The sequence below is a fragment of the Homo sapiens genome, chromosome 7 (assembly GCF_000001405.40).
Source record: "Homo sapiens chromosome 7, GRCh38.p14 Primary Assembly".
NCBI classification, from domain to species: Eukaryota; Metazoa; Chordata; class Mammalia; order Primates; family Hominidae; genus Homo; species Homo sapiens.
The window spans coordinates 99572118-99598057 of record NC_000007.14 but is presented as its reverse complement, the minus strand read 5'-3'; the positions used below and the strand labels follow the sequence as shown (position 1 = coordinate 99598057).

The window sequence follows — 25940 nt, the reverse complement described above, 5'->3', positions numbered from 1 at the left end:
GTGTGGGGGCGGAGGAACAGAGAGCGGGAGGGATCTGAATTCAAATCCTAGCTCTGCCATTACCAGCGTGGGGACTTTGAATAAATTTCCTGTGTCTCCTTCCTGGGTCCTGGGCTTCTAATCTGTAAAATGGGAATAATAATAGTATTAATAATATGGTGTTAATAGTATTAACACTATTATATTAATGATATACTATTAACACTATTATATTAGTAATATAGTGTTGAGTGTTAACACTTATATTAATAATATAGCGTTAATAGCATTAACACTATTGTATTAATAATATAGGGTTACTATTAACACTGCTATATTAATAATACATGATTAACACTATTAATCATATAATAGTGTTAACACTATAATATTAACAATATAATATAGTGTTAACACTATTATAGTGTTAACACATATTATATTAATAACACTATTATATTAATAATAATTGTTAATAATATAGTGTTAACAGTATTATAATTATATTAATAATTAATAACACTCGTATATTAATATTATAATTAATAATAATAAAGTGTTAATAGTATTAACACTATTATATTAATGATAATAGTGTTAACACTATTAATAATGTAATAGTATCTACACTATAATAATAATATAGTGTTTCATAATATAGTGTTAGGCCGGGCGCGGTGGCTCACGCCTGTAATCCCAGTCCTTTGGGAGGCCAAGGCAGGCGGATCACGAGGTCAGAAGATCGAGACCATCCTGTCTAACACGGTGAAACCCCGTCTCTACTAAAAAATACAAAAAATTAGCCGGGCGTGGTGGGGGCGCCTGTAGTCCCAGTTACTCGGGAGACTGAGGCAGGAGAATGGTGTGAACCTGGGAGGCGGAGCTTGCAGTGAGCAGAGATGGCACCACTGCACTCCAGCCTGGGCGACAGAGCAAGACTCTGTCTCAAATAATAATAATAATATAGTGTTAACACTATTATATTAATAATATAGTGCTAACACCATTATATTAATAATATAGTGTTAATAGTATTAACATTATTATATTAATAATATAGTGTTAACACATATTAGTAATGTAGTGTTAACACTATCATATTAAAAATATAGTGTTAGTAGTATTAACTCTCATATTAATAACAGTGTTAACACTATTATATTACTAATATAGTGTCAATAGTATTAACATTATTATATTAATAGTAGCACACTGTGATATTACTAATATCTGTAATGTTAATGATATTCAGTGTTAGCACACTGTGGTATTACTAACATCTATGATATTCATAGTATTCAGTGTTAGCACACTGTGATATTACTAATATTTGTGACATTAATAATATCCAGCGTTAGCACACTGTTAACACACTGTGATATTACTAATATCTATATTATCTATCATATTAGTGATATCCAGTGTTAGCACACTGTATTAACACACTGTGATATTACTAATATCTGTGATATTAATAATATCCAGTGTTAGCACACTGTGCTATTACCAATATTTGTGACATTAATAATTTCCAATGTTGGCACACTGCAATGTTAATAATATCTATGATACTAAAAATATCCAGTGTTAGCACCCTGTGTTGTGTTAATAATGTCTATGATATTAATAATATCAAGTGTTAGCACCCTGTGATGTGTTAATAATAATATGATATTAATAAAATCTAGTATTAGCACCCTGTGACTTGCTAATAATAATATCCAGTGTTTGCACCCTGTGTTGTGTTAATATCAATGATATTAATAATATCCAGTGTTAGCACACCGTGATAATAATATCCAGTGTTAACACAGTGTTAGCACATTGTGATATTAATAATTTATATGATATTCATAATATCCAGTGTTAGCACACTGTGTTAGCAAAATGTGATATTAATATCTATGATCTTCATAGTGTCCAGTGTTAGCACACTGTGATATTAATATTATCTATGATATTCATAATATCCAGTGTTTGTTAGCACACTGTGTTATCATACCATATTATTCATAATATCCATGATATTAATGCTGATATCCAGTGTTAACACACTATGTTAACACACTGTGATACTATTCATAGTATCTGTGATATTATTACTAACACACATTAGATATTAATACTAATATCCAGTGTTAACACACTGTTATATTACTCAGAATATTCATGATATTACTACTAATGTCCAGTGTTAACACACTGTGATATTTTTCATGATATCACTAATATCCAGTGTTGACACACTGTGTTAACACACTGTGATATTATTCCTAATATCCACAATATTACTACTGATATCCACTGTTGTTAACACACGGTGATATTATTCATAATATCCAGTGTATTACTATTGATATCCAGGGTGTTAATACAATTAATATCCATGATATTATGAATAATATCACCCTGTGATATCCAGGATGATATCCTGATACTGATCCACTACTGATACCCAAGATGTTAACACATTGTGTTAACACCCTGTGATATTATTCATAATGTCTATGATGTTACTACTGATATCCAGGGTGTGAACACACTGTGTTAGCACCCTGTGATATTATTCATAATATCCATGATATTACTACTGACATCCAGGGTGATAATGCAGTGTTAACACACTGTGTTATGTTTGTAACATCATCGATATCACTACTGACATCCAGTGTTTCACACTGTGATATTAATGAAATATCGCTGTTACATTTATAATATACAGTGTTTCCACACTGTGCTATGTATGAAATATAGTATCCAGTGTTTCCACACTGTGCTATGAATGAAATATTATACTATCCAGTGTTTTCATACCGTGCTATGAATGAAATATTATAATATCCGGTGTTTCCAAACTGTGCAATGAATGAAATATTATACTATGCAGTGTTTCCAAACTGTGCTATGAATGAAATAATATTCAGTGTTTCCACACTGTGCTATGAATCAAATATTATAATATCCAGTGTTTCCACACTATGCTACGAATGAAGTATTATAATATTCAGTGTTTCCACACAGGGATATGAATGAAATATTATATTACGCAGTGTTTCCGCACTGTGCTATGAATGAAATATTAAAATATCCAGTGTTTCCAAACAGGGATATGAATGAAGTATTAAAATATCCAGTGTTTCCACATAGGGATATGAATGAAATACTAAAATATCCAGTGTTTCCACAAAGGGATATAAATGAAATATCGCTGTGATATTTATAATATCCACTGTTCCCACACAGGAATAAAGTTGAAATCCTGCTGTGATATTTATAATATCCAGCGTTTCCACACAGAGATATAAATGAGATATAGCTGTGATATATATAATATCCAGTGTTTCCACATAGGGCTATAAATGAAATATCGATGATATTTATAATATCCACTGTTTATACATAGAGATACAAATGAAATGTCCCTGTGATATGTATAATATCCAGTGTTTCCGCACTGTGATATGAATAAAATATCACTGTAAGATGTATAATATCCAGTGTTTACACACTGTGATATTAATGAAATATCGGTTCTGATATTTCTCAGTTTACACACTGTGATATTAATGAAATACCCCTTCTGATATTTTTCATATCATGGTGTTTACACAGAGTATTTACACACTGTGATATTAATGAAATATCGCTTCTAATATTTTTCATATCACTGTGTTTACACAGTGTTTACACACTGTTATTAATGAAATATCGCTATTTATCATATCATAGTGTTTACACAGTGTTTACACACTTTGATATTAATGATATATCGCTTCTGATATCATATCACAGTGTTTACACAGACCATTCACACACAGTGATATTCATGAAATATCGCTGCTGATATATCACAGTGTTTACACAGTGTGATATAAATGAAATATCACTTCTGATATTTTTTATATCACGGCATTTACACAGAGTGTTTACACACTGTGATATTAACGGTATATCGCTTCTGATATTTATCATATTACAGAGTTTACACACCGTGATATTAATGAAATACCGCTTCTGAAATTTATCATATCGCAGTGTTTACACACTGTGATATTAATGAAATAACGCTTCTGATATTTATCGTATCAAAGTGTTTACACAGAGTGTTTACACAGTGTGATATTAATGAAATATCGCTTCTGATATTTATCAAATCACAGTGTTTACACAGAGCGTTTACAGACTGTGATATTAATGAAATAACACTTCTAATATTTATCATATCAAAGTGTTTTCACAGGGTGATATTAATGAAATATCTCTTCTCATATTTATCAAATCACAGTGTTTACATACTGTGATATTAATGAAATATCGCTTCAGATATTTACCATATCACAATATTTGCACACTGTGATATTAATGAAATATCCCTTCTGATATTTATCATATCACAGTGTTTACACACAGTAGTATTGATGAAATATCACTTCTGATAATTATCATATCACAGTGCTCACACAGAGCTTTCACACACTGTGATATTGATGAAATATCGCTTCTCATATTCATCATATCACAGTGTTGACAGAGGGGGTATACACACTGTGATATGGATGAAATATCGCTTTTGATATTTATCATATCACAGTGATTACAGGGGGTTTACACATTATGATATTGATGAAATATCGCTTCTGATGTTTGTCCTATCATGGTGTTTACAGAGGGTTTACACATATGATATTGATGAAGTATCGCTTCTGATATTTGTCACATCACAGTGTTTACACAGAGTGTTTACACACTGTGATATTGATGAAATATCATCTCTGATATATGTCATACCAAAGTGTTTACACAGGTTTACATACTGTCATATTGATGAAATGTCGCTTCTGATATTTATCATGTAACAGTATTTACACAGAGTGTTTACAGTGGGTGTATATACTGTGATGATATTATTCATAATATCTAAAAGACATTACTCCTAATATCACAGTGGGTGTACACCATGTGATGATATTATTCACAATATCTAAAAGATATTACTCCTAATATCACCATGGGTGTACACCCTGTGATACTGTTGACAATATCCAAAAGATATTCCTCCTAATAAAACCGTGGATGTACACCCTGTGATATTATTCACAAAATCTAAAAGATATTACTCCTAATATCACCGTGGGCGTACACCCTGTGATATTATTCATAATATCTAAAAGATATTACTCCTAATATCACCATGGATGTACACCCTATGGTGTTATTTATAATATCTAAAAGATACTACTCCTAATATCACCATGGGTGTACACCCTATGGTGTTATTTATAATATCTAAAAGATATTACTTCTAATATCAACGTGGATGTACACCCTGTGATACTATTGAAGATATCTAAAAGATATTCCTCCTAATAAAAACGTGGATGTACACTCTGTGATATTATTCACAATATCTAAAAGATATTACTCCTAATATCACCGTGGGTGTACACCCTGTGATATTATTTACAATATCTAAAAGACATTACTCCTAATATCACCGTGAGTGTACACCCTGTGATACTATTGACAATATCTAAAAGGTATTCCTCCTAACAAAACCATGGATATACACCCTGTGGTATTAGTCACAATATCTAAAAGATATTACTCCTAATACTACCGGGGGTGTAGACATTGTGTGTACAAAATGTGACATTACTCATAATATCTAAAAGATATTGCTTCTAATATCACCGTGGGTGTACACTATGTGTGCACACCTTGTGACATTATAACATCTAAAATGTATTACTCCTGATATTACCGTGGGTGTACACCCTGTGTTATTATTCATAATATCTAAAGATATTACTCCTAATATCACCGTGGGTGTACACCCTGTGATATTATTCATAATATCTAAAATATATTACTCCTAATATCACCATGAAAGTACATCCTGTGTGTACACCCTGTGATATTATTCATAATATGTAAAAGATAATACTCCTAATATCATTGTGGGTGTATACCCTATGATGATATTATTCATAATATCTCAAAGACATTACTCCTAATATCACAGTGTGTGTACACCCTGTGATGACGTTATTCATAATATCTGAAAGATATTACTCCTAATAACACTGTGGATGTACACCCTGTGTTTACACCCTGTGATATTATTCATAATATCTAAAATATATTACTCCTAATATCACCGAGGGTGTACACCCTGTAATCTAATTCACAATATCTAAGAGATGTTACTCATAATATCACCGTGGATGTGCACCATGTGGGTACACCATGTGATATTATTCATTATATCTAAAAGATATTCCTGCTAATATTACCCTTGGTGTGCAACCTGTGATATTATTCATAATACCTAAAAGATATTACTCCTAATATAAGCGCTGGTGTACACACTGTGATATTATTCATACTATCTGAAAGATATTACTACTAATGTGACCATGGGTGTTCACTTAGTGGTGTTATTTATAATATCTAAAAGATATTACTCCTAAAATCATCGTGGGTGTCTACTCTGTGATGTTATTCACAATACATAAAAGATATTGTAATATCACCATAGGTGTAGGCGTTGTGTGTACACCCTGTGATATTATTCATAATATCTAAAAGAAATTACTACTAATATCACCATGGGTGTCCACCCTGTGATATTATTTATAATACGTAAAAGATATTACTTATAATATCACAGTGGGTGAAGACGCTGTGTGTACACCCTGTGATATTATTCATAATATCTGGAAGATGTTACTCCTAATATCACCGTGGGCATACACCCTGTGATGTTATTCATAATAAAAGATATTACTCCTAATATCACAGTGGGTCAACACCTGGTGATATTATTTGTAATATCTAAGGGAGACATTACTCCTAATATCACACTGGTTGTACAACCTGGGTGTACACCCAGTGATATTATTCATAATACCTAAGAAAGATATATTTGTAATATCTAAAAAAGATATTACTCCATATATCAAAGTGAGTGTACATCCTGTGATATTATTTATAAGATCTAAAGAAGACAGTACACCTAATATCTCAGGGGGTATATACCCTGTGTGTAAACCCAGTGATATTACTTGTAATATCTAAGGGAGATATTACTCCTAATATCACAGTAGATGTACTCCCTTTGTGTACAACCTGTGATATTATTTGTAATATCTAACGGAGCTATTACTCATAATATCACAGTTATTCTTTGTAATATCTAAGGAATATATTACCTCTAATATCACAGTGGCTGTATATCCTGTGTGTAAACCCAGTGATATTATTCGTAATATCTAAGGGAGACCTTACTCGTAATATCACAGTGGGTGTACACTGTGTGTAAACCCTGTAATATTATTTGTGAAATCTAAGGAAGATATTACTCCTAATATCACAGTGGGTGTACATCCTGTTATATTATTCATAATATCTAAAGGAGATATTACCTTTAATATCACAGTGGGTGTACAGGCTGTGATATTACTCATAATACCTAAGGGAGATATTTCTCCTAATATCACAGTGGATGTACACCCTGTGATATTATTCGTAATATGTAAGGGAGATATTACACCTCATATCACAGTGGGTGTACACCCTGTGATATTATTCATAAAATCTAAAGGAGATGTTACTCATAATATCACAGTGGGTGTACACCTTGTGATATTATTCATAATATCTAAAAGAGATATTACTTCTAATATCACGGTGGGTGTACACCTTGTGATATTATTTGTAATATCCTAGGGAACTAGTTCTATTAATATCACAGTGGATGTACACTCTGTGATATTATTCAATTATTTGTAATATCTAAGAGAGATATTACTCTTAATATCGCAGTGGGGGTACACCCTCTGTGATATTATTCATAATATCCAAAGGAGGAGATAATATTACCTTTAATAATGCAGTGGGTGTACACCCTCTGTGATATTATTCATAATATAAAAGAAAAAAGATGATATTACTACCAATATCACAATGGGTGAACATCCTCTGTAATATTATTTGTAATATCGGAGGGAGGAGATGATATTACCTCTAAAATCTCAGTAGATGTACAGCTCTCTGATATTATTTGTAATATCCAAGGGAGGAGATATTACTCCTAATGTAACAGTGGGTGTACACCCTTTGTGATATTATTCATAATATTAAAGGGAGGAGATATTACCTGTAATATAGCAGTGGGTGTACACCTTCTGTGATATTATTCATAATATCCAAAAGAGGAGATGATATTACCTGTAATATCACAGTGGGTGTACACTCTCCAAATATTATTCATAATCTCCCATGGAGGAGATGATATTACTCCTAATATCACTGGAAGTGTAAACCCTCTGTGATACTATTAGTAATATTTAAGGGGAGAGATATTACTCCTAATATTGTAAACATCCTGTGTGTACACCCTCTGTGATATTATTCGTAATATCCAAGGGGAGAGATGACATTACTTGTAATATTGTAAACACCCTGTGTATACATCCCCTGTGATAATATTTGTAATATCCAAGGGAGGAGGTGATATTACTCCTCATATCACAGGGGCTGTACACCCTCTGTGATTATATTCGTAATATCCAAGGGGAGAGATATTACTTGCAATATTTAAACAGTCTGTGTGTACACCCTCTGTGATTATATTCGTAATATCCAAGGGGAAAGGTAATATTACTCCTCACATCACAGGGGCTGTACAGCCTCTGTGATCATATACTTAATATCCGACTGGGGATTACTCCTCACATCAAAGGGGCTCTACACCCTCTGTGATAATATTCATAATATACAAGGGGGGAGGTGATATTGCTGCTCACATCGCAGGGGCTGTACACACTCTGTTATAATATTAGTAATATCCAAAAGGGGAGGTGATATTACTCCTCACTATGCAGGGATTGTACACCCTCTGCAATAATATTTGTAATATCAAAGGGCGGAAGTCATATTACTGCTCACAATGCAGGCTCTGTACACCTTCTGTGACATTAGGAGTAATGTCCAAGGGAGAGGTGATATCACTCCTTACATCACAGGGGGTGTACACCCTCTGTGATAGTATTTATAATATCAAAAGGGGAAGGTGACATTACTCCTTACATCGCAGGGGGTGTACAACCTATGTGATATTATTCGTAATATCCAAAGGAGGTGATATTACTCCTCACATAGCAGAAGCTGTTCACCCTCTGTGATATTATTCATAATATCCAAGGGGGGAGGTGATATTACTTTTCACATCGCAGGGGGTGTGCATCCCCTGCTATATTATTCATAATATCCAAGGAAGGATGTGATATTACTCCTCACATTGCAGGTGCTGTACACTCTCTCTGATAGTATTCATAATATCCAAAAGGGGAGGTAATATTCTTCCTAATATCCAGGGAGGGAGAAGATATTACTCCCAATATCACAGGATGTGTACAACCCCCCTGTGATATTGTTTTTAATATCAAGAGGGGACAGGATGATATTACTCACAATATCGCAGGGAGTATACAACCCCCATGTGATATTGTTCCTAATATCCACAGGAGGAGAGAATGACATTACTTCCAACAACTCACAGTGTGTACACCCCACTGTGATATTGTTCCTTATATTCAAATTTGGAGAGGATGATATTACTCCAAATATCACAGGGGGATGTACACCCCCGCTGTGATATTTTTCCTAGTATCTAGGGGGGCAGAGGATGATATTACTCCCAATATTGCAGGAGGTATACACCCCCACTGTGATATTCTTCCTAATATCCAGACGGGGAGATGATGATATTGCTTCCAATATCACAGGGGTTGTACACCGCCCTGTGATATTGTTCCTAATATCCAGTGAAATAGAGGCTGATATTAGGGGAAAGAGTATGACATTACTGCCAATATTGCAGGGACTGTACACCCCGCCTGCGATATTGTTCCTAATAGCCAGTGGGAGAGAGGATGATATTACTCTCAATATTGCACCCCACTGTCATATTGTTACTAATATCCAGTGGAAGAGAGGATGATATTACTCTTAATATTGCAGGGGATGTACACCCCTCTGTGATATTGTTCCTAACATCCAGGGGGAGAGGATAATATTATTCCCAATATCATAGGTGGTGTACACCCCCTCCCCATGATTTTGTTTCTAATATCGAGAGGGGCAGAAGATGATATTACTCCCAATATCGCAGGGGATGTACATCCCCCCTGTGATATTGTTCCTAATATCCAGGGGGGGTGGAGGATATTATTACTCCCATTATTGCAGGGGGTGTATTCCCTCCTTGTGATATTGCTCCTAATGTAATGGAGAGGAGACGACAATATTACTCCCAATATCGCATGGGGTATACTCCCCATGCTGTGATATTGTTCCTAATATCCAGGAACAGAGAAGATGATATTACTCCAAATATGGCAGGGGGTGTACACCCCCCTGTGATATTGTTCTTCATATCCAGGGGAGGAGAGAATATTACTCCTAATACCGCAGGAAATGTACAACACCCCCCCCCATGATATTGCTCCTAATATCGTGGGTGGAGAGGAGGATATTACTCCCTGTAAAGCAAGAGGTGTACATCCCCCTTGTGATATTGTTAACAATATTCAGGGGGAGACGATATAATGTCAATATCTCAGGGGGTGTACACCCCTCGTGTGATATTGTTCCTAATATCCAGTGGAACAGAGGATGATATTAATCCCAATATCGAAGGGGGTGTACATCCTCCCTGTGATATTGTTCCTTATATGTAGGGGGGGAGAGGATGATATTACTCCCAATATCGCAGGGGGTGTACACCCCCCGTGTGATACTGCTCCTAATATCCAAGAGAGGGAGTATGACATTATCCTCAATATTGCAAGGGGTTTACACCCCCTTTGTGATATTGTTCCTAATATATGCAGGGGGAGATAATAATATTACTCCGAATATCATAAGGGATGTACACACCCCCTGTGATATTATTCCTAATATTCATGAGGGGAGAAGATATTACTACCAATATCGCAGGTTGGGGGAATAACCCTTTGTGATATTGTTTCTAATATCCACGGAGGAAGAGGATGATATTAATCCCAATACCACAGGGAGTGTACACCCCCCTGTGATGTTGTTCTTAATATCCAGAAGTGGAGAGGATGATACTACTTTCAATGTCGCAGGGGGTGTACACAACCCTGTAATATAGTTCCTAATATCCGGGAGGGGAGAGGATGATATTACTCCCAATATCACAGTCGGTGTACAACCCCCTGTGATATTGTTTCTAATATCCAGGGTGGGGAGAGGATGATATTACACCCAATATCGAAGGGGGTGTAAACCTCCTCTGTGATATTGTTTCTAACATACAGCTGGAGAGAGAATAATATTACTCCAAATATCACAGGGGGTGTACGTCCTCCCTGTGATATTGATCATAATATCCAGGTGGGAAGAGGATGATAGTACCCCCAATATCGCAGGGGGTGTACACCCCCGGTTTGATATTGTTCCTAATATCCAAGGGGGTAGAAGATATTACTGTCAATATCGCAGGGGGTGTACACCCTGCTGTGACATTGTTTTTAATATCCAGAAGGGGAGACAATATTACGCCCAATAGCATAGGGGGTGTACACCCCCGTGAGATATTGTTCCTAATATCAAGGGGGGGAGAGGATGATATTACTCCCAATATCAGAGAAGGTGTACACCCACCCTGTAATATAGTTCCTAATATCCATGGGGAAAGTGGATGATGTTACTTCCAATGTCGCAGGGGTTGTACACCACCCCTGTGATATTGTTTCTAATATCCAGAGGGAGAGAGGATGATATTATTTTCAATATCGCAGGGGATGTATACCCTCCTTGTAATAGTCTTCCTAATATCCAAAGTGGGTGATGACAATATTACTCCAAATAGGGCAGGGGGTGTATACCCCCCGGTGATATTTTTCCTAATATCCAGAAAAGAATAGGAAGATATTATTTCCAATATCACAGGGTGTGTACATCCCCCTGCGATATTGTTTCTAATATCCACAGGGGAGAGGATGATATCACTATATCGCAGGGGGTGTACATTCCCCTTTTTATATTAATATATCCAAAAGGGGAGATGATTATATTACTGTCAATATCATAGCAGGTGTACACCACCCGTGTGATATTTTTCCTAATATCCAGTGGAAGAGAGAATATTAATCCCAATATCAAAGGAGGTGTAAACCCCTTCTGTGATATTGTTCCTAATATCCAAGGGAAGAGAGGATAATATTACTTTCAATATCTCAGGGGGTGTACCCCCCCTCTGTAATATTGTTCCTATTATCCAGTGGGGGAGAGGTTGATATTACTGGGGGAGTACACACACCCTGTGGTATTTTTCCTAATATCCAGGGGGAAGAGGATTATATTACTCCCAATATCGCAGGGAGTGTATACCCCCTTTGTGATATTGTTCCTAATATTTAGTGGGGATAGGATGATATTACTCCCAATATGGCAAAGCGTGTACACACCCCCTGTGATATTGCTTCTAATATCAAAGGAGAAGAAAATTGTATTATTCCCAATATCGCAGGAGGTGTACACACCCCTTGTGGTACTGTTCCTAATATCCAATGGGGAAGACAATAATATTACTGTCAATATCACAGGTGGAGTATACCTTCCCTGTGATATTGTTCCTAATGTCCAGAGGGAAAGAGAATGATATGACTTCCAATATCGAAAAGACGGTACACTCCCCCGTGATATTGTTCCTACTATCCAGTAGGGAAGAGGATGATATCACTCCCAATATCGCAGGGGGTGTGAACCCTCCTTGTGATATTGTTCCTAATATCCAGGGCGGGAGATGACAATATTAATCTCAATATAGCAAGGTTGTACACCCCAGTGTGATATTTTTTTCAATATCCAGGAGAAAAGAGGATGATATTACTCTTAATATCTCAGGGGTTGTACACCTCCCTGTGATACTGTTCTTAGCATCCAGTGGGAAAGAGGATGATATTATTCCCAATACCGCAGGGAGTGTTCACCCCCCTGTGATATTGTTCGTAATATCCAGGAAAGAGAGGATGATATTACTTCCCATATCACAGAAGGTGTACACCCCACTTGTGATATTGTTAATAATTTGCAGGTGGGGAGACAATTATATTACTGTCAATATCACAGGGTGTACATTCCCCATGTGATATTACCTCTAATATCCAGTGGAAGAGAGAATGATATTAATCCCAATATCAAAGAAAGTGTACACACACTCTGTGATTTTGTTCATAATATCCAGAGAAGGAGAGGATGACATTACTCCCAATATCGCAGGGGGTGTCCACCCCCTTTGTAGGTGTTCTTCCTTCCTAATACCCAGGAGTGAAGAGTATAACATTATTCTCAATATCGCAGGGGGTGTACACCCCCAGTGTGATATTCTTCCTAATATACAAGGGTGGAGAGGATAACACTACTCCCAATATCGTAGAAGTTGTACACCCCCACTGTGATATTGTTCCTAATACTCAGGTTAGGAGAGGATATTACTCCCAATATCTCAAGGAATGTACACCTTGCCTGTGATATTGTTCTTAATATCCACTGGGAAAGATGATGCTATTACTCCCAATGTCGCAGAAGGTGTACAACACCCCTGTGATATTGTTTCTAATATGTAGGGGGGGAGGAAATGATATTGCTCCCAATAGTGTGAGAAGTGTACACCCCCCATGTGATATTGTTCCTAGTATCCAGAGGGGGAGAGGATGATATTACTCCCAATATCGCAGGGGGTGTACAACCCCCAGTGAGATTGTTCCTAATATCCAGGAAGTAGAGGATATTACCACCAATATCGCAGTTGGTGTACACCCCCTCTGTAACATTGTTCCTAATTTCCAGTGGGGGAGAAAATATTACTCAATATCGAGGGGGTGTACACCCTCCCTGTGATATTGTTCCTAATATCCAGAGAGAGAGAGGATGATATTACTCCCAATATCACAGAGCGTGTACACCCCCCCACCGTGATATTGTTCCTAATATCTGGGAGCGGGGGAAATGATGATATACTGCCAATATTGCAGGGGTGTACACCACCCCTGTGATATTGTTTATAATATCCAGGGGGGAGAGGATGATATTGCTCCCAATATCGCAGAGGGTGTACACACACCCCTGTGATAGTCTTCCTAATATCCAGAAGAGGACAGGATGATATTACTTTCAAAATCGCAGGGGTTGTACACATCCCTGTGGTACTGTTTTTAATATCAAGGGAAGGAGAGGATGATATTACCCCAATATTGAAGGGGGTGTACACCCTCCATTGATATTGTTCCTGATCTCCAGGGGAAAAGAGGATATTACTTTCAATATTGAAGGGGGTGTACACCCCCGTGATATTGTTCCTAATATCCAGGGAGGAGAGGAAAATATTACTCCCAATATCGCAGGGGGTGTATACCTCCCCTGTGATACAGTTCCTAATATCCAGGTTGGGAGAGGATGATATTTCTTCCAATATCGCAGAAGGTGTACACCTCCCCTGTGATATTGTTTCTAATATCCAGGGAGGGAAAAGATGATATTACTCCCAATATCGCAGGGCATGTACATCCCCCTTCGATGTTATTCCTAATATCCTGGGTAGGAGAGGATGTTATTATTCCCAATATCCCAAAGGGTGTACACTCCCACTGTGATATTGTTTGTCATATCCACAGGTGGAGAGAATGACATTATTCCCAATATCGCAGAGGGTGTACACCCTCACTATGATATTGCTTTTAATATCCAGAAGGGGAGAGGATATTACTCCCAATATCGGAGGGGGTGACCACCCACTCTCTGATATTATTTCTAATACCCAGAAAGGGAGAGGATGATATTACTCCCAATATCACAGGGAGGTTATATTTCCCTTGTGATATTGTTTTTAATATCCAAGGGGGGAGGCGATGATAATACTGTCAAAATCGCAGGGGGTGTACCCCCCACCCCGTGATATTGTTCCTTATATGCAGGGGGGAAAGAGGATGATATTACTCGCAATATTGCAGGAGGTGTACACCCCACCCCATGATATTGTTTCTAATATTTAGGTGGGGAGAGGATTATATTACTCTCAATATCACAAGGGGTATACACCCTCCCCCATGATATTGTTCCAAATATCCAGATGGGGAAAGGATGATATTACTCCCAATATCGCAGAAGGTGTACACCACCCCTGTGATATTGTCCCTAATAATTATGGTAGGAGAGGATGATGTTACTCCCAATATCGGAGAGGGTGTACAACCCCCATGTGATTTTGTTCCTAATATCCAGGAGAAGAGAGGACAATATTACTTCCATTATCACAGGGGTTGTACGCCCCCACTGTGATATTGTTCTTAATATCCAGGAAAAAAGGGGATGATATTACTCCCAATATCACAGGGGGTGTACACCTGCACTGTGATATTATAACTAATGTCCAGGGTAGGAGAGGATGATATTACTTCCAATATCGCAGGGGGTGTACACCCCCCCGTGATACTGTTCCTAATATTAAGGATGGGAGAAGATGATACTATGCCCAATATCGCAGAGAATGTACACCTCGCCCCCCGTGATATTGTTTCTAATATCCAGGGGGAAGAGGATGATATTATTCCCAATATTGCAGGGGGTATAAACCCCACTTGAGACATTTCCTAATATCCAGGGGGAGAAAGGATGACATTACTCCCAATAGCGCAGGGGGTGTACACCCCTACTTTGACATTGTGGTTAATATCAGGGAAAGAGAGGATGATGTTAACCCCAATATCGCAGGGAGTGTACACCCACCCTGTGATATTGTTTTTAATATTGGGGGGGGAGACAATATTACTCCCAGTTTTGCAAAAGGTGTACACACATCCAGGGTGGTAGAGGATGATATTACTTCCAATATTGCAGGGTATCCTCCTTCTGATATTGCTCCTAATATCCAGAAAGGGAGACGACAATATTATTCGCAATATCGCAGAGGGAGTACACTCCCCTATCATATCGGTGTACTTTTTTTTTGTGGGGCAGAGGGGCGGGAAATGGAGTCTAACTGTGTCGCCCAGGCTGGAATGCTGTGGCACAATTTCAGCTCACTGCAACCTCCACCTCCCAGGTTCAAGCAACTGTCCCACCTCAGCCTCTCCGAGTAGCTGGGACCACATGCACACACCATCAGACCCGGCTAATTTGTTTTTCATTTTTAGTAGAGACAGGGTTTCACCATATTGGCCAGGCTGGTCTCAAACTCCTGACCTCAAGTGATCTGCATGCCTCAACCTCCCAAAGTGCTGGGATCACAGCCGTGAGCCACCGTGACTGGCCCCAACTTCATTTTCTTTAAATGGCCATACACCTGATAATGGTGGGACAGCAGACTGAAATCAAAATGTTATAAATCTTTTAACTTCCATTTCTCTTAACAGGTGGCTGACCTGTCCATTGTATCCACTCTCAGAGTTTATGCCTTGGGTAGAAAAATGCCACTTTCCTAACGATGAAGGAGAGTGTGAGTAGGACAAGAGTCCACTCTTCTTGTACTTGGCTCATGGGACATACTTGGCTGGGTTCGTGCATTTATTCATTCACACATTTACCTAGCTTCTCCAAATGCCAAGCAAGTTAACAGGTGCTGGTATAACAGATCCTCACAATAGAGCTAGACAGCACTGCTGCAGATTTGTTCCACACAGCGAGAGAGGAAACAGGCTTTACTGACATGGGCTACAGCTTGAGGTTACAAAGAAGAAAAAAACAAAATGTCATGGCCAGACACAGTGGCTCACACCTGTAATCCTAGCATCTTGGTAGGCCAAGGGGAGAGGATAGCTTAATATCAGGAGTTCAAGACCAGCCCAGGCAACATAGTGAGACCCTGTCTCTAAAAATAAATAAATAAATAAATAAATAAATAAATAAATAAATAAATAAATAAAGCCGGGCGTGGTTGTGTGGGCCTGTAGTCCCAGCTACTTGGGAGGCTGAGGTGAGAGGATCACCTGAGCCCATGAGGTCGAGGCTGCAGTGAGTTATGATCATGCCATTGCACTCCAGCCTGAGCAACAGAGTGAGACCCTGTCTCAAAAAAAAAAGGTGGGGGGTGGAGAAAGGGAAGGAAGAGAGGGAAGGAGGGAGGGAGGGAGGACAGAAGGAAAGAAGGAAGGAAGGAAGGAAGGGAAAAAAAAAGTCACTAGTCTTGCACCACAACGCTTCTAAGTGTAAGGCTAATCTTGTCCATCTGATCTGAGAGCATGGTCAGAGGGACAAATAAACTCTAAATTTTGTCTAAGCCACAAAGATCAGCCGGCTAGATTAGCTCCTCCCCCTTGCTCTTCCGAGGCCCCTGCCCTGGGGCGGACAAATGGAGTCTGGGGACCTCTCCGTGGGCTGGATCCAATCTCCGATGCTGCTGCAGCGCCAAAATCTCGACACATTCACAACACGATGCTAGAGACGGGCAGTCACTTCAGGAAAGGGAGAGAGAGGGCAGGTACAAGGGCAATGGTAGGCGGAGCTTTCCCAAGAAGGGTGCCCAACCGAGAAGGCGTTAGAAGCTGCGTTCTTTCTCCAGGAGGGGATGGACGAAAGCAAAGACCCCTGACCGTGACTGCAGGAACTCTGCCAGGCCCTTAGAAACCGGCGGCGGGCCCCGCCCCTGCGATCAGAAGCCCCGCAAGCTGGGCCCCGCCGCCAACTGCGTTTCCAGCCGCTACGGGGCCGACCCCTCCTCCGTTCTCCGCACTGGGGCGCACAGCTAGCCCACCCACCCTAGGGGGCGCATGGAAACCGCGTGGTCCGCTGCGCGCACTTCGGAGTCTCTGGGCGGCTCGGAGGCCTCATTTCGATCGCGGTCCCTCCAGGAGCCGCCCCGGTCCAGAGAAGGATAGGATGTGGACTCCCCAAGGGAGGACTGCAGGAAGATGGAACGGGATTTCTTCACCTGCCCTTCATCGCCTAAGTGGGCCTAGACTCTAACTGGCTGTCCCTTCCGTGTCATCGCCACGGTCCCCATGTGAACCCCGTTTGTCCTCCCCTCTTCCTGCCCTATGTCGCCTCCCCCCACTCCACCTCCTTTCGTGACCACTGGCCGGGTTGACCCTGCGGGGCCCGCGCTCTTCACCCACAGGCCAGCCTGTCCTCCTCTCCCTGTGTGCACCCCAACATCTCCCAGCTTGGCCTGGAGCGTGTATTAGGTTGGTGCAAAAGTAATTGCTGTTTTGCAATTTTTTAAATGGCAAAACCGCAATTACTTTTGCACCACCTATAAATAGGCAGGGGGAACGGGCAAGAAAAGCCTTAGAGAAGGGGCCAAGAGCCAACCACCTAGCCGGCCAGGAGTATGGGTTTGCCAGAGGCATGAGATGTATTGAAGCAGAAAAGGAAGAAAAAAGATTAAGGAGACAAATTGTTCGTGATAAGGGGTTTCCTGATAAACTCAGAAACAGCAACTACCAGTTATGGAGCACTTAAACTGACACTATCTCATTAATCCTCACAACGGTCCTGTGCAGGTGGTGGTTTTGTTTTTTACCATCCTAAATGCCAGAGCTGCACTTGGTATGTAACAAAGGCAGCATTTGAACCCTGGCCTGCTCATACCAGAGCGAGGGCATCTAACTGCACCCACAAAGGACAATGGAGGAAGACTGTGTCATTGTAATATGAGCAAATGGGGAAAAGACAAAACAAATGCTTTCATTATGCCCAGGTTGTAAATGTATAAACATAAATGAAACACACATACAAGAGGCTAACCGTTTTTGTTTTTTGTTGTTGTTGTTTTTTTAAAGGCAAGAGTCTCACTCTGTCGCCCAGGCTGGAGTGCAGTGGCGCAATCTCGACTCACTGCAACCTCTGCTTCCCAGGTTCTAAGCGATTCTCCTCCTTCAGCCTCCAGAGTAGCTGGGATTACAGCACCACCACGCCTGGCTAATTTTGTATTTTTAGTAGAGACGGGGTTTCACCATGTTGGCCAGGCTGGTCTTGAACTCCTGACCTTGTGATCCACCCGCTTCAGCCTCCCAAAGTGCTGGGATTACAGGCGTGGGCCACCACACCCAGCCATAGCTAACAGTTTTCTAAAAACAGAGAGTAAATAGGAAGTGTCCACAAAATAAAGCTTTAAATGTATGTAGTTTCTTTATTTGTAAAGGGTGCCATTTGTTTGAAATCGTTCTTACACTCTTGGATTAAAACACCGGTTCCTTCACACACTTGTATTTTGAAGGGAATATAAAATGTGATTCCCTCACACCTGTAATCCCAGCACTTTGGGAGGCTGACGCGGGTGGATTACCTGAGGTCAGAAGTTTGAGACAAGCCTGGCCAACATGGTGAAACTCCGTCCCTACAAAAAATACAAAAATTAGCCAGGTGTGATGGCAGGTGCCTGTAGTCCCAGCTACTCAGGAGGCTGAGGCAGGAAATACTTAAACCTGGGAGGCAGAGGTTGCACTGAGCCAAGATCACATCACTGCACTCCACCCTGGGCGAGAGAGCAAGATTCTGTTTGAAAAAAAAGAAGAAAAAAGTGGTTTCATATGATACAAATGTTAGAAAAAGGACAGATGTCAGTTTGCTGACTCCAGCAGAGTTACCTTTCGGGTGCTAGTTCCCACCACAGCCCAGGATGCCAATGTTTTCTCTAGTTACATGTTAAGATCTCCAAATCCAGGGCATCCCTCCTGAAACAATGCCAGTCCTACACTGCTAAATGTTTACTGAATGAATGGATGAATGAAGGCAACATTTTTAGATGTGGGAATCCTATAGTGCTTGGTTCTCTAATCCCTAGGGGCCTCCTTTGAACTTGGTTCTTCAACCTCCTCAGTTGCCCACATACTACATCCTACAGTGAGGCATTTCTCCATACCTCACTTATTACCTGGAAAGTGCCATACTCTCACATGCAGGCCTTGACATGCTAGCTCTTTTGCTAAAACTCTCCGTGCCCCTCTCCCCGTGTTCCCCACCTGTCATCTACTTCTATCCACCCTTTTGCTCAGGCCAAAAACCTAGGAATTTTCCCATTACCACTTTGCTCCACTGCTATAACCAGAGGTGATAGTGACTCTTAGCAAGGATACATGCCCACCAGCAAGTTCTGGTTATCAGAAAAATATTAAGAGTAAATTTGGTCACGGTGTAATGGAAATGCAAATCTAGTGATGGCAGCAGCGGTATCTTGACAGGACATATGAAATTTGAGAGCTTTGACCTGTGACCTGCCATTGTCAAAACTGTCCAACCCTGTTTCAGAGCAGGGGTTTGACTAGCTCCCTAAAAAAATCTCAGGATATTCTCTCCTAGTATCCCAGAGAGCTCTCGGAGCACTTGAGATCAGTTGCAAACTAATGACAGTGAGTCATCAGCGATGTACTAGGGAATGAAGAGCTATCAAACTTCTCTGGGTTTTGAGATCTGTGTAATACCAACATCACTTTGGGGTATATTGTTGTTTTTTGTTTTTTTGTGTTTTCTTGAGACAGAGTCTCACTCCGGAGTGCAGTGGCACAATCTCGGCTCATTGCAACCTCTGCCTCCCAGGCTCAAGCTATTGTTGCGCCTCAGCCTCCCAGGTAGCTGGAATTATAGGCACGCAACACCATGCCTGGCTAATTTTTCTATTTTAAGTAGAGACTGGGTTTCGCCACATTGGCCAGGCTGGTCTCCAACTCCTGACCTCAAGTGATCTGCCCGCCTCAGCCTCCCAAAGTGTTGAGATTACAGGCGTGAGCCACTGCACCTGGCCTGGGGTATGTTTACTAAAATATTCCTTTGTAAAATGAAGCTAGCTGCTTTGCAGAATTGAGAATAAAGTTTAGATATGTACAAACATACGTGTGTGTAGGTAGGTGGAAAGACAGAAGATAAAAGTGCCCTCTACTATCGTATTTCTCTTCTCTCCCCTTTCAAGACCAAAATGACTCAGAACACAAACTCATGTATCAGGCCAATTAAATATCTGCTTAAAGGATTGCCCTAAAGGACTATTTTGAGTCCGCCTTTTTTAAAGTGTTTTACTTATTTAAAAAATATGGCTGGGCACAGCGGCTCACGCCTGTAATCCCAGCACTTTGGGAGGCTGAGGCAGGCAGATTACCTGAGGTCAGGAGTTTGAGACCAGCCTGGCCAACACAGTGAAACCCGGTCTCTACTAAAAATACAAAAATCAGCCAGGCAAGGTGGCAGGTGCCTGTAATCCCAGCTACTTGGGAGGCTGACACAAGACAATCGTTTGAACCCAGGAGGCGGAGGTTGCAGTGAGCCGAGATCACGCTACTGCACTCCAGCCTGGGTGACAGAACGAGACTGTCTCAAAAAACAAACAAACAAACAAAAAGTTATTCCTAGTTCTACTGAAACCTCGAACTATTTAGTCTTATTTTATATACCAACAACTTCCCAATCAAATCCCCTTTAAGTCCCAAACATTCAGCTTTTGTTCCAGAGGTCTGTGGAAAAGCAAGCTTTGTTATCAATGCAAAGGAAAGTGATCCATTCTTGCTGTGAAGCAAGTTCCAGGGAGGAAAGGAGTTGCAGCCAGAGATGTGATTCCAACATTCCCAAACGCTTCTGTCTGAGACCTTCAGATTTTGTTTGAAACAAATTCTCAGAATACCAAACACACCTTTATTCAAGTGGAAGTACAAAAGCACATTCCTAAACCAAACGCATACATGTGATTTTTACATATTCTGCTTTTTAGGGATTACATAATCCTGTTTCAGTCACCATACGTGACTACTGGTCTCTATACATAAGGGTATACATGTTTGACAGGAAAAAACACATGCATTTTTCATTTGCTTTTACATTTAGATCAATTCATTTATATATCAATTTCATTTAGATTCCTACCTTGCCTTGATGAAATCCTACTCTTGCTGATGGCAAAGAAGTAAAATATAGTGGCAGAACTATCCTAGAGGTTAGCCATAGGAGGATTATAGAGTGAGCAACATATTTTTATATATTTGTTGAGGGTCCCTACTGAATATTATAACACTGAACTATGAAAGCCTCAATTGCTGGACTGACAACAAGAATTTTAAATAACATTTGTCTTACTCACAAAATGTTATAAAGCTTAAGATGGAAAAATACAAAATGTTTTGACATTACCTAAAGAATCATGAACTCTTGTTAGGTATATGATGGTGGCCCTGAACTTGAGCCAACATCTGTAATCACTTTTATCAGTCAAAAAGCCATGTTCTTTTATATAGCCTGTAGACTATTAAAATACAAAAATGTGGTAATGGATAAACAACTATACACAAAGCCCTCACACTTCAAATACTGTCCTGGATTGATGAGAGAGGAGCAGAATTCAAACATTTATCTGCAATCCTAATGGTTAAAATTTTACCAGGAACAGACCTGCCACTCTCTTGAAATACTGTCTCTGAGATTAACATACGAACAGCATCATCTCTGTTGGAAGGCTACATTCCCTTATGATGCTGATTTGTGTGTGTGTGTGTGTGTGTATGGTTTTTTGTTTTTGTTTTTTTGTGTTTTTTTGAGAGAGAGTCCTGCTCTGTCGCCCAGGCTGGAGTGCAGTGGTGCAATCTCGGCTCACTGCAACCTCCGCCTCCCAGGTTCAAGCAGTTCTCCTGCCTCAGCCTCCTGAGTAGCTGGGATTACAGGCGCGTGCCACCACACCCGGCTAACTTTTGTATTTTTAGTAGAGACGGGGTTTCACCATGTTGGCCAGGATGGTCTCGACTGCCTGACCTCGTGATCCATCCGCCTCAGCCTCCCAAAGTGCTGGGATTACAGGTGTGAGCCACCATGCCCGGCCTGTGTATCTTCTTTATGTTTACCCTACCAAGAGCAGACCTGAGCATTTTGCTGGCCGTAGAGGTATATAAAAGAACTCTAAGCTTAGGCATGCAGAATAGGCACTGGATGAATGTAGTGAGGCTATTAGGAGTCTTGTTGGCTCCCTGATGTCCTTATCATGTCTTCTTCGCAGACTGTGGATGCACACAAGACAGCTAAAACCTTGGGCATCATTTGAAAATGTTTGGCTGCCTGCTACAATCTCAGGAGAGAGAATCCTTCATACTTATATTGGACTGGATATATTGTCAATCAAATTCTTTTTTAAAAAAAGATGCTTCACTTTAGGAAATAAGACACCAGACCAGCAACATCAAGTAGGTATGGAATACTTGCTGGTGAAACACTTAAAACTAGGAAACTTCTAAATCTTCTAAAGGTGCTTAAGAGAATGGAGAAGTTAATCAACAGGAATCCAAGTGTTGTGGCTGTAAAGCAATACGACATAAGATCCCTAGTAAAGAGCAGGCCTAAGAGTTGGTTTTGGAAAGAACTTGGGCCAAGAACAGCAGAAAAAGCTAAATGAGCTACTTACGTCGATGTGTTTTAATACTGGTGCATTAGCAGTATCTTATGGAAGTTGTGAACACTAAGAACCAATTTCAAAAAATATAAAAATGTTTATAGGGCATATTAAAATAAAAACAGCTTAAATGAGTTCTATAAATAAAATAGGCCCAGCACAGTGACACACGCCTGTAACCCCAGCACTTTGGGAGGACAGGTGGGAGGATCGCTTGAGGCCAGGAGTTCAAGACCAGCCTGGGCAACAAAGCAAGACCCCATCTCTGTTCTTTTTAATATCAAAATTATAATAAAAAAGTAAAAATAAACGTACCTACTTAGAATACATATTAAATAAAGGAACTCCATGAGAAAATGTCACTGCATTTACCAAGTCAACCCTAGATTTTTGTGCAATGAAAAAGATTGGGACTATGTATTAACAATTTCATAAACAAATAATCAACAATTTTCTCTCCATTATTTCGATGTTGGGTAAAGCCTGAAATGTGGTGTCGAGTTTTTCCATTTGCGTTACATCAAATTCTTGTCTACTATGGATATTCTGATATGACAAAGACTAGTTAAACTCCTATTGAAAGATCTGCCATTTACTACACCCAAATAAGTTCTCTTAGGTATAAATTCTTTGATGTTGAATGAGCGTTGGGTTATGACTGAATCTCCTCACACACATACATGCTTATTACATTTATAATCTTTTTGCATGGCGTGAATTTGATACTAAACAAGGTAGTTTCTTTGACTGATGGCTTTTTCACATTCATTGCAGCAATGGAATTTTATTCCCATGTGAATTCTCCAAATGTGACTAAGGTATGAAAATACTAATAGCATGAAAAATTTGCCACATTCAATACATTTGTAAGATTTCTCACTGGTATAGATTTGCAGGAGTCGATTAAGAGTTTAACACTAATACCTTTTCTTCATTCGTCACATTCAGAGGGTTTCTCTCTGGTGTGAATTATCTGATGCTGAGCAATGGCTGAGCTATGACTGAAGGCTTTACCACATGCAGTACATACATGATTTCTCCCTGGTGTGAACTCTCAGATGCTGAATGAAGCCTGAATTTGATAAATATCTTCCCATCTTCATTACATTCATGAGTTCTCTTTGGTATGAATGCTCTGATGTTGAACTAGATGTGCTCTCTGACTGGAGTTCTTTTCCCATACATCACAATCAAAGGCTTTCTGTCTGGTGAGGACTTCTTGTTGCAGGATAAGATCTGAGCTATGACTGAAACTGCCCTCATACTCATTACATTCATACGATTTCTCTTTCCTATGCATTTTGTGATGCTGAATAAGGCATGAGGTTTGACTGAAAGCTTTTCCACATTCATTACATTCATGTGCTTTCTCTCCTGTGTGAATTCTTTGATGCTGAATAAGATGTGAATTCAATCTGAAGTCTTTTCCACATTCACTACACGTATAGGGCTTTTCTCTGAAATGAATTCCTTGTTGTTTAATATAGGCCAACCCATATTCATCATACTCATAGGCTTTCTCTTCATGATGGACCCTCTGATGTTCAAGTAGGTATGAAGTATGGCAGAAGTCACTGCCACATACAGTACACTTACAGGGCATCTCTTTGTGAATTTTCTGATGTTGAGTAAGGTGGACACTACGACTGAAGACTCTTTCACAACTGCTACATTTGTAAGATTTGGCTCTGGTGTGAATTTTCTTATGCTGAATTATGCCTGAGCTTGGACTACAGGATTTATCAGACGCTTCACAGGATTTATCAGATGCTTCACATTTGTAAGGTTTTTCTCTAGTGTGTATTCTTTTATGTCGACTAAGACTTGAGCTCTGACTGAAAGACTTTTCACATTCTTTACATTTGTAGGGCTTCTCTCTAGTATGGATTCTCTGATGTCTAGTAAGGGCTGAGCTCTGATGGAAAATTTTCCCACATACATCACATTTATAGGATTTCTCAGTGTTAGGGATGCTCTCCCATTTATTAAGGTGGGAGAGATCCATTAAGCTTTCCTTACATTCACTACTCTGAAAATCCTCTGTTAGATTTAAGTGTTCATGTTTACCAGAGGCTGAATTCTGGTTGAAGCTCATGTCATACTTATCATTGTCATCGGTATTCTGTATTCTAAGAACTCTCTGATCTGCATCAATAGTAGAGTCCAGACTGAAGCTTTTTTCGGGTTCATGACATTCATTGTTCTTCTCACTGGTGAAGGTTTCCTTGCTGATTGTTATTTGCCTAAACTCTCTCTCCAGGTACAGAAATTTCCTTAGAATTTCCTGAAGTCTTTCTAATCTGTCCTCAGACTTATACACTTCTCTAGTCTCAGGAACTTGGGTAATATCGTGTTTGAGTCTTCCTACTCTCACTTTGTATGAATGCACTTCTTCCGAAATTTTCTGCTTAGGAATCAACAGCTTGTTCTCTTCTCTGGTCTCTCCATCTGATACAATATATAAATAGAAAATGCAAATGTAATCTGTACCCTGTGCTTAGGAAAAGAAAACTCAGATGAGAAAACTAAACAATGTAGTATCTACAAGGACAAGAAAAGTTTATTTACTCTGAAA

General features: G+C 39.6%; 1 protein-coding gene across 10 annotated transcripts in view; it reads right to left on the bottom strand.

The window, feature by feature from the left end:
* Nucleotides 21605–25940, bottom strand: part of ZNF655 (zinc finger protein 655) — a 17812-nt gene continuing 13476 nt past the window's right edge. For all 10 annotated transcript variants that reach the window (NM_001083956.2, NM_138494.3, NM_001085368.1 and 7 more), the window contains one exon: nt 21605–25813. In NM_001083956.2, the coding sequence (NP_001077425.1) occupies nt 24474–25813 (1340 nt within the window). In that variant the 3' untranslated portion in view covers nt 21605–24473. The remainder of the gene's footprint in view (nt 25814–25940) is intronic.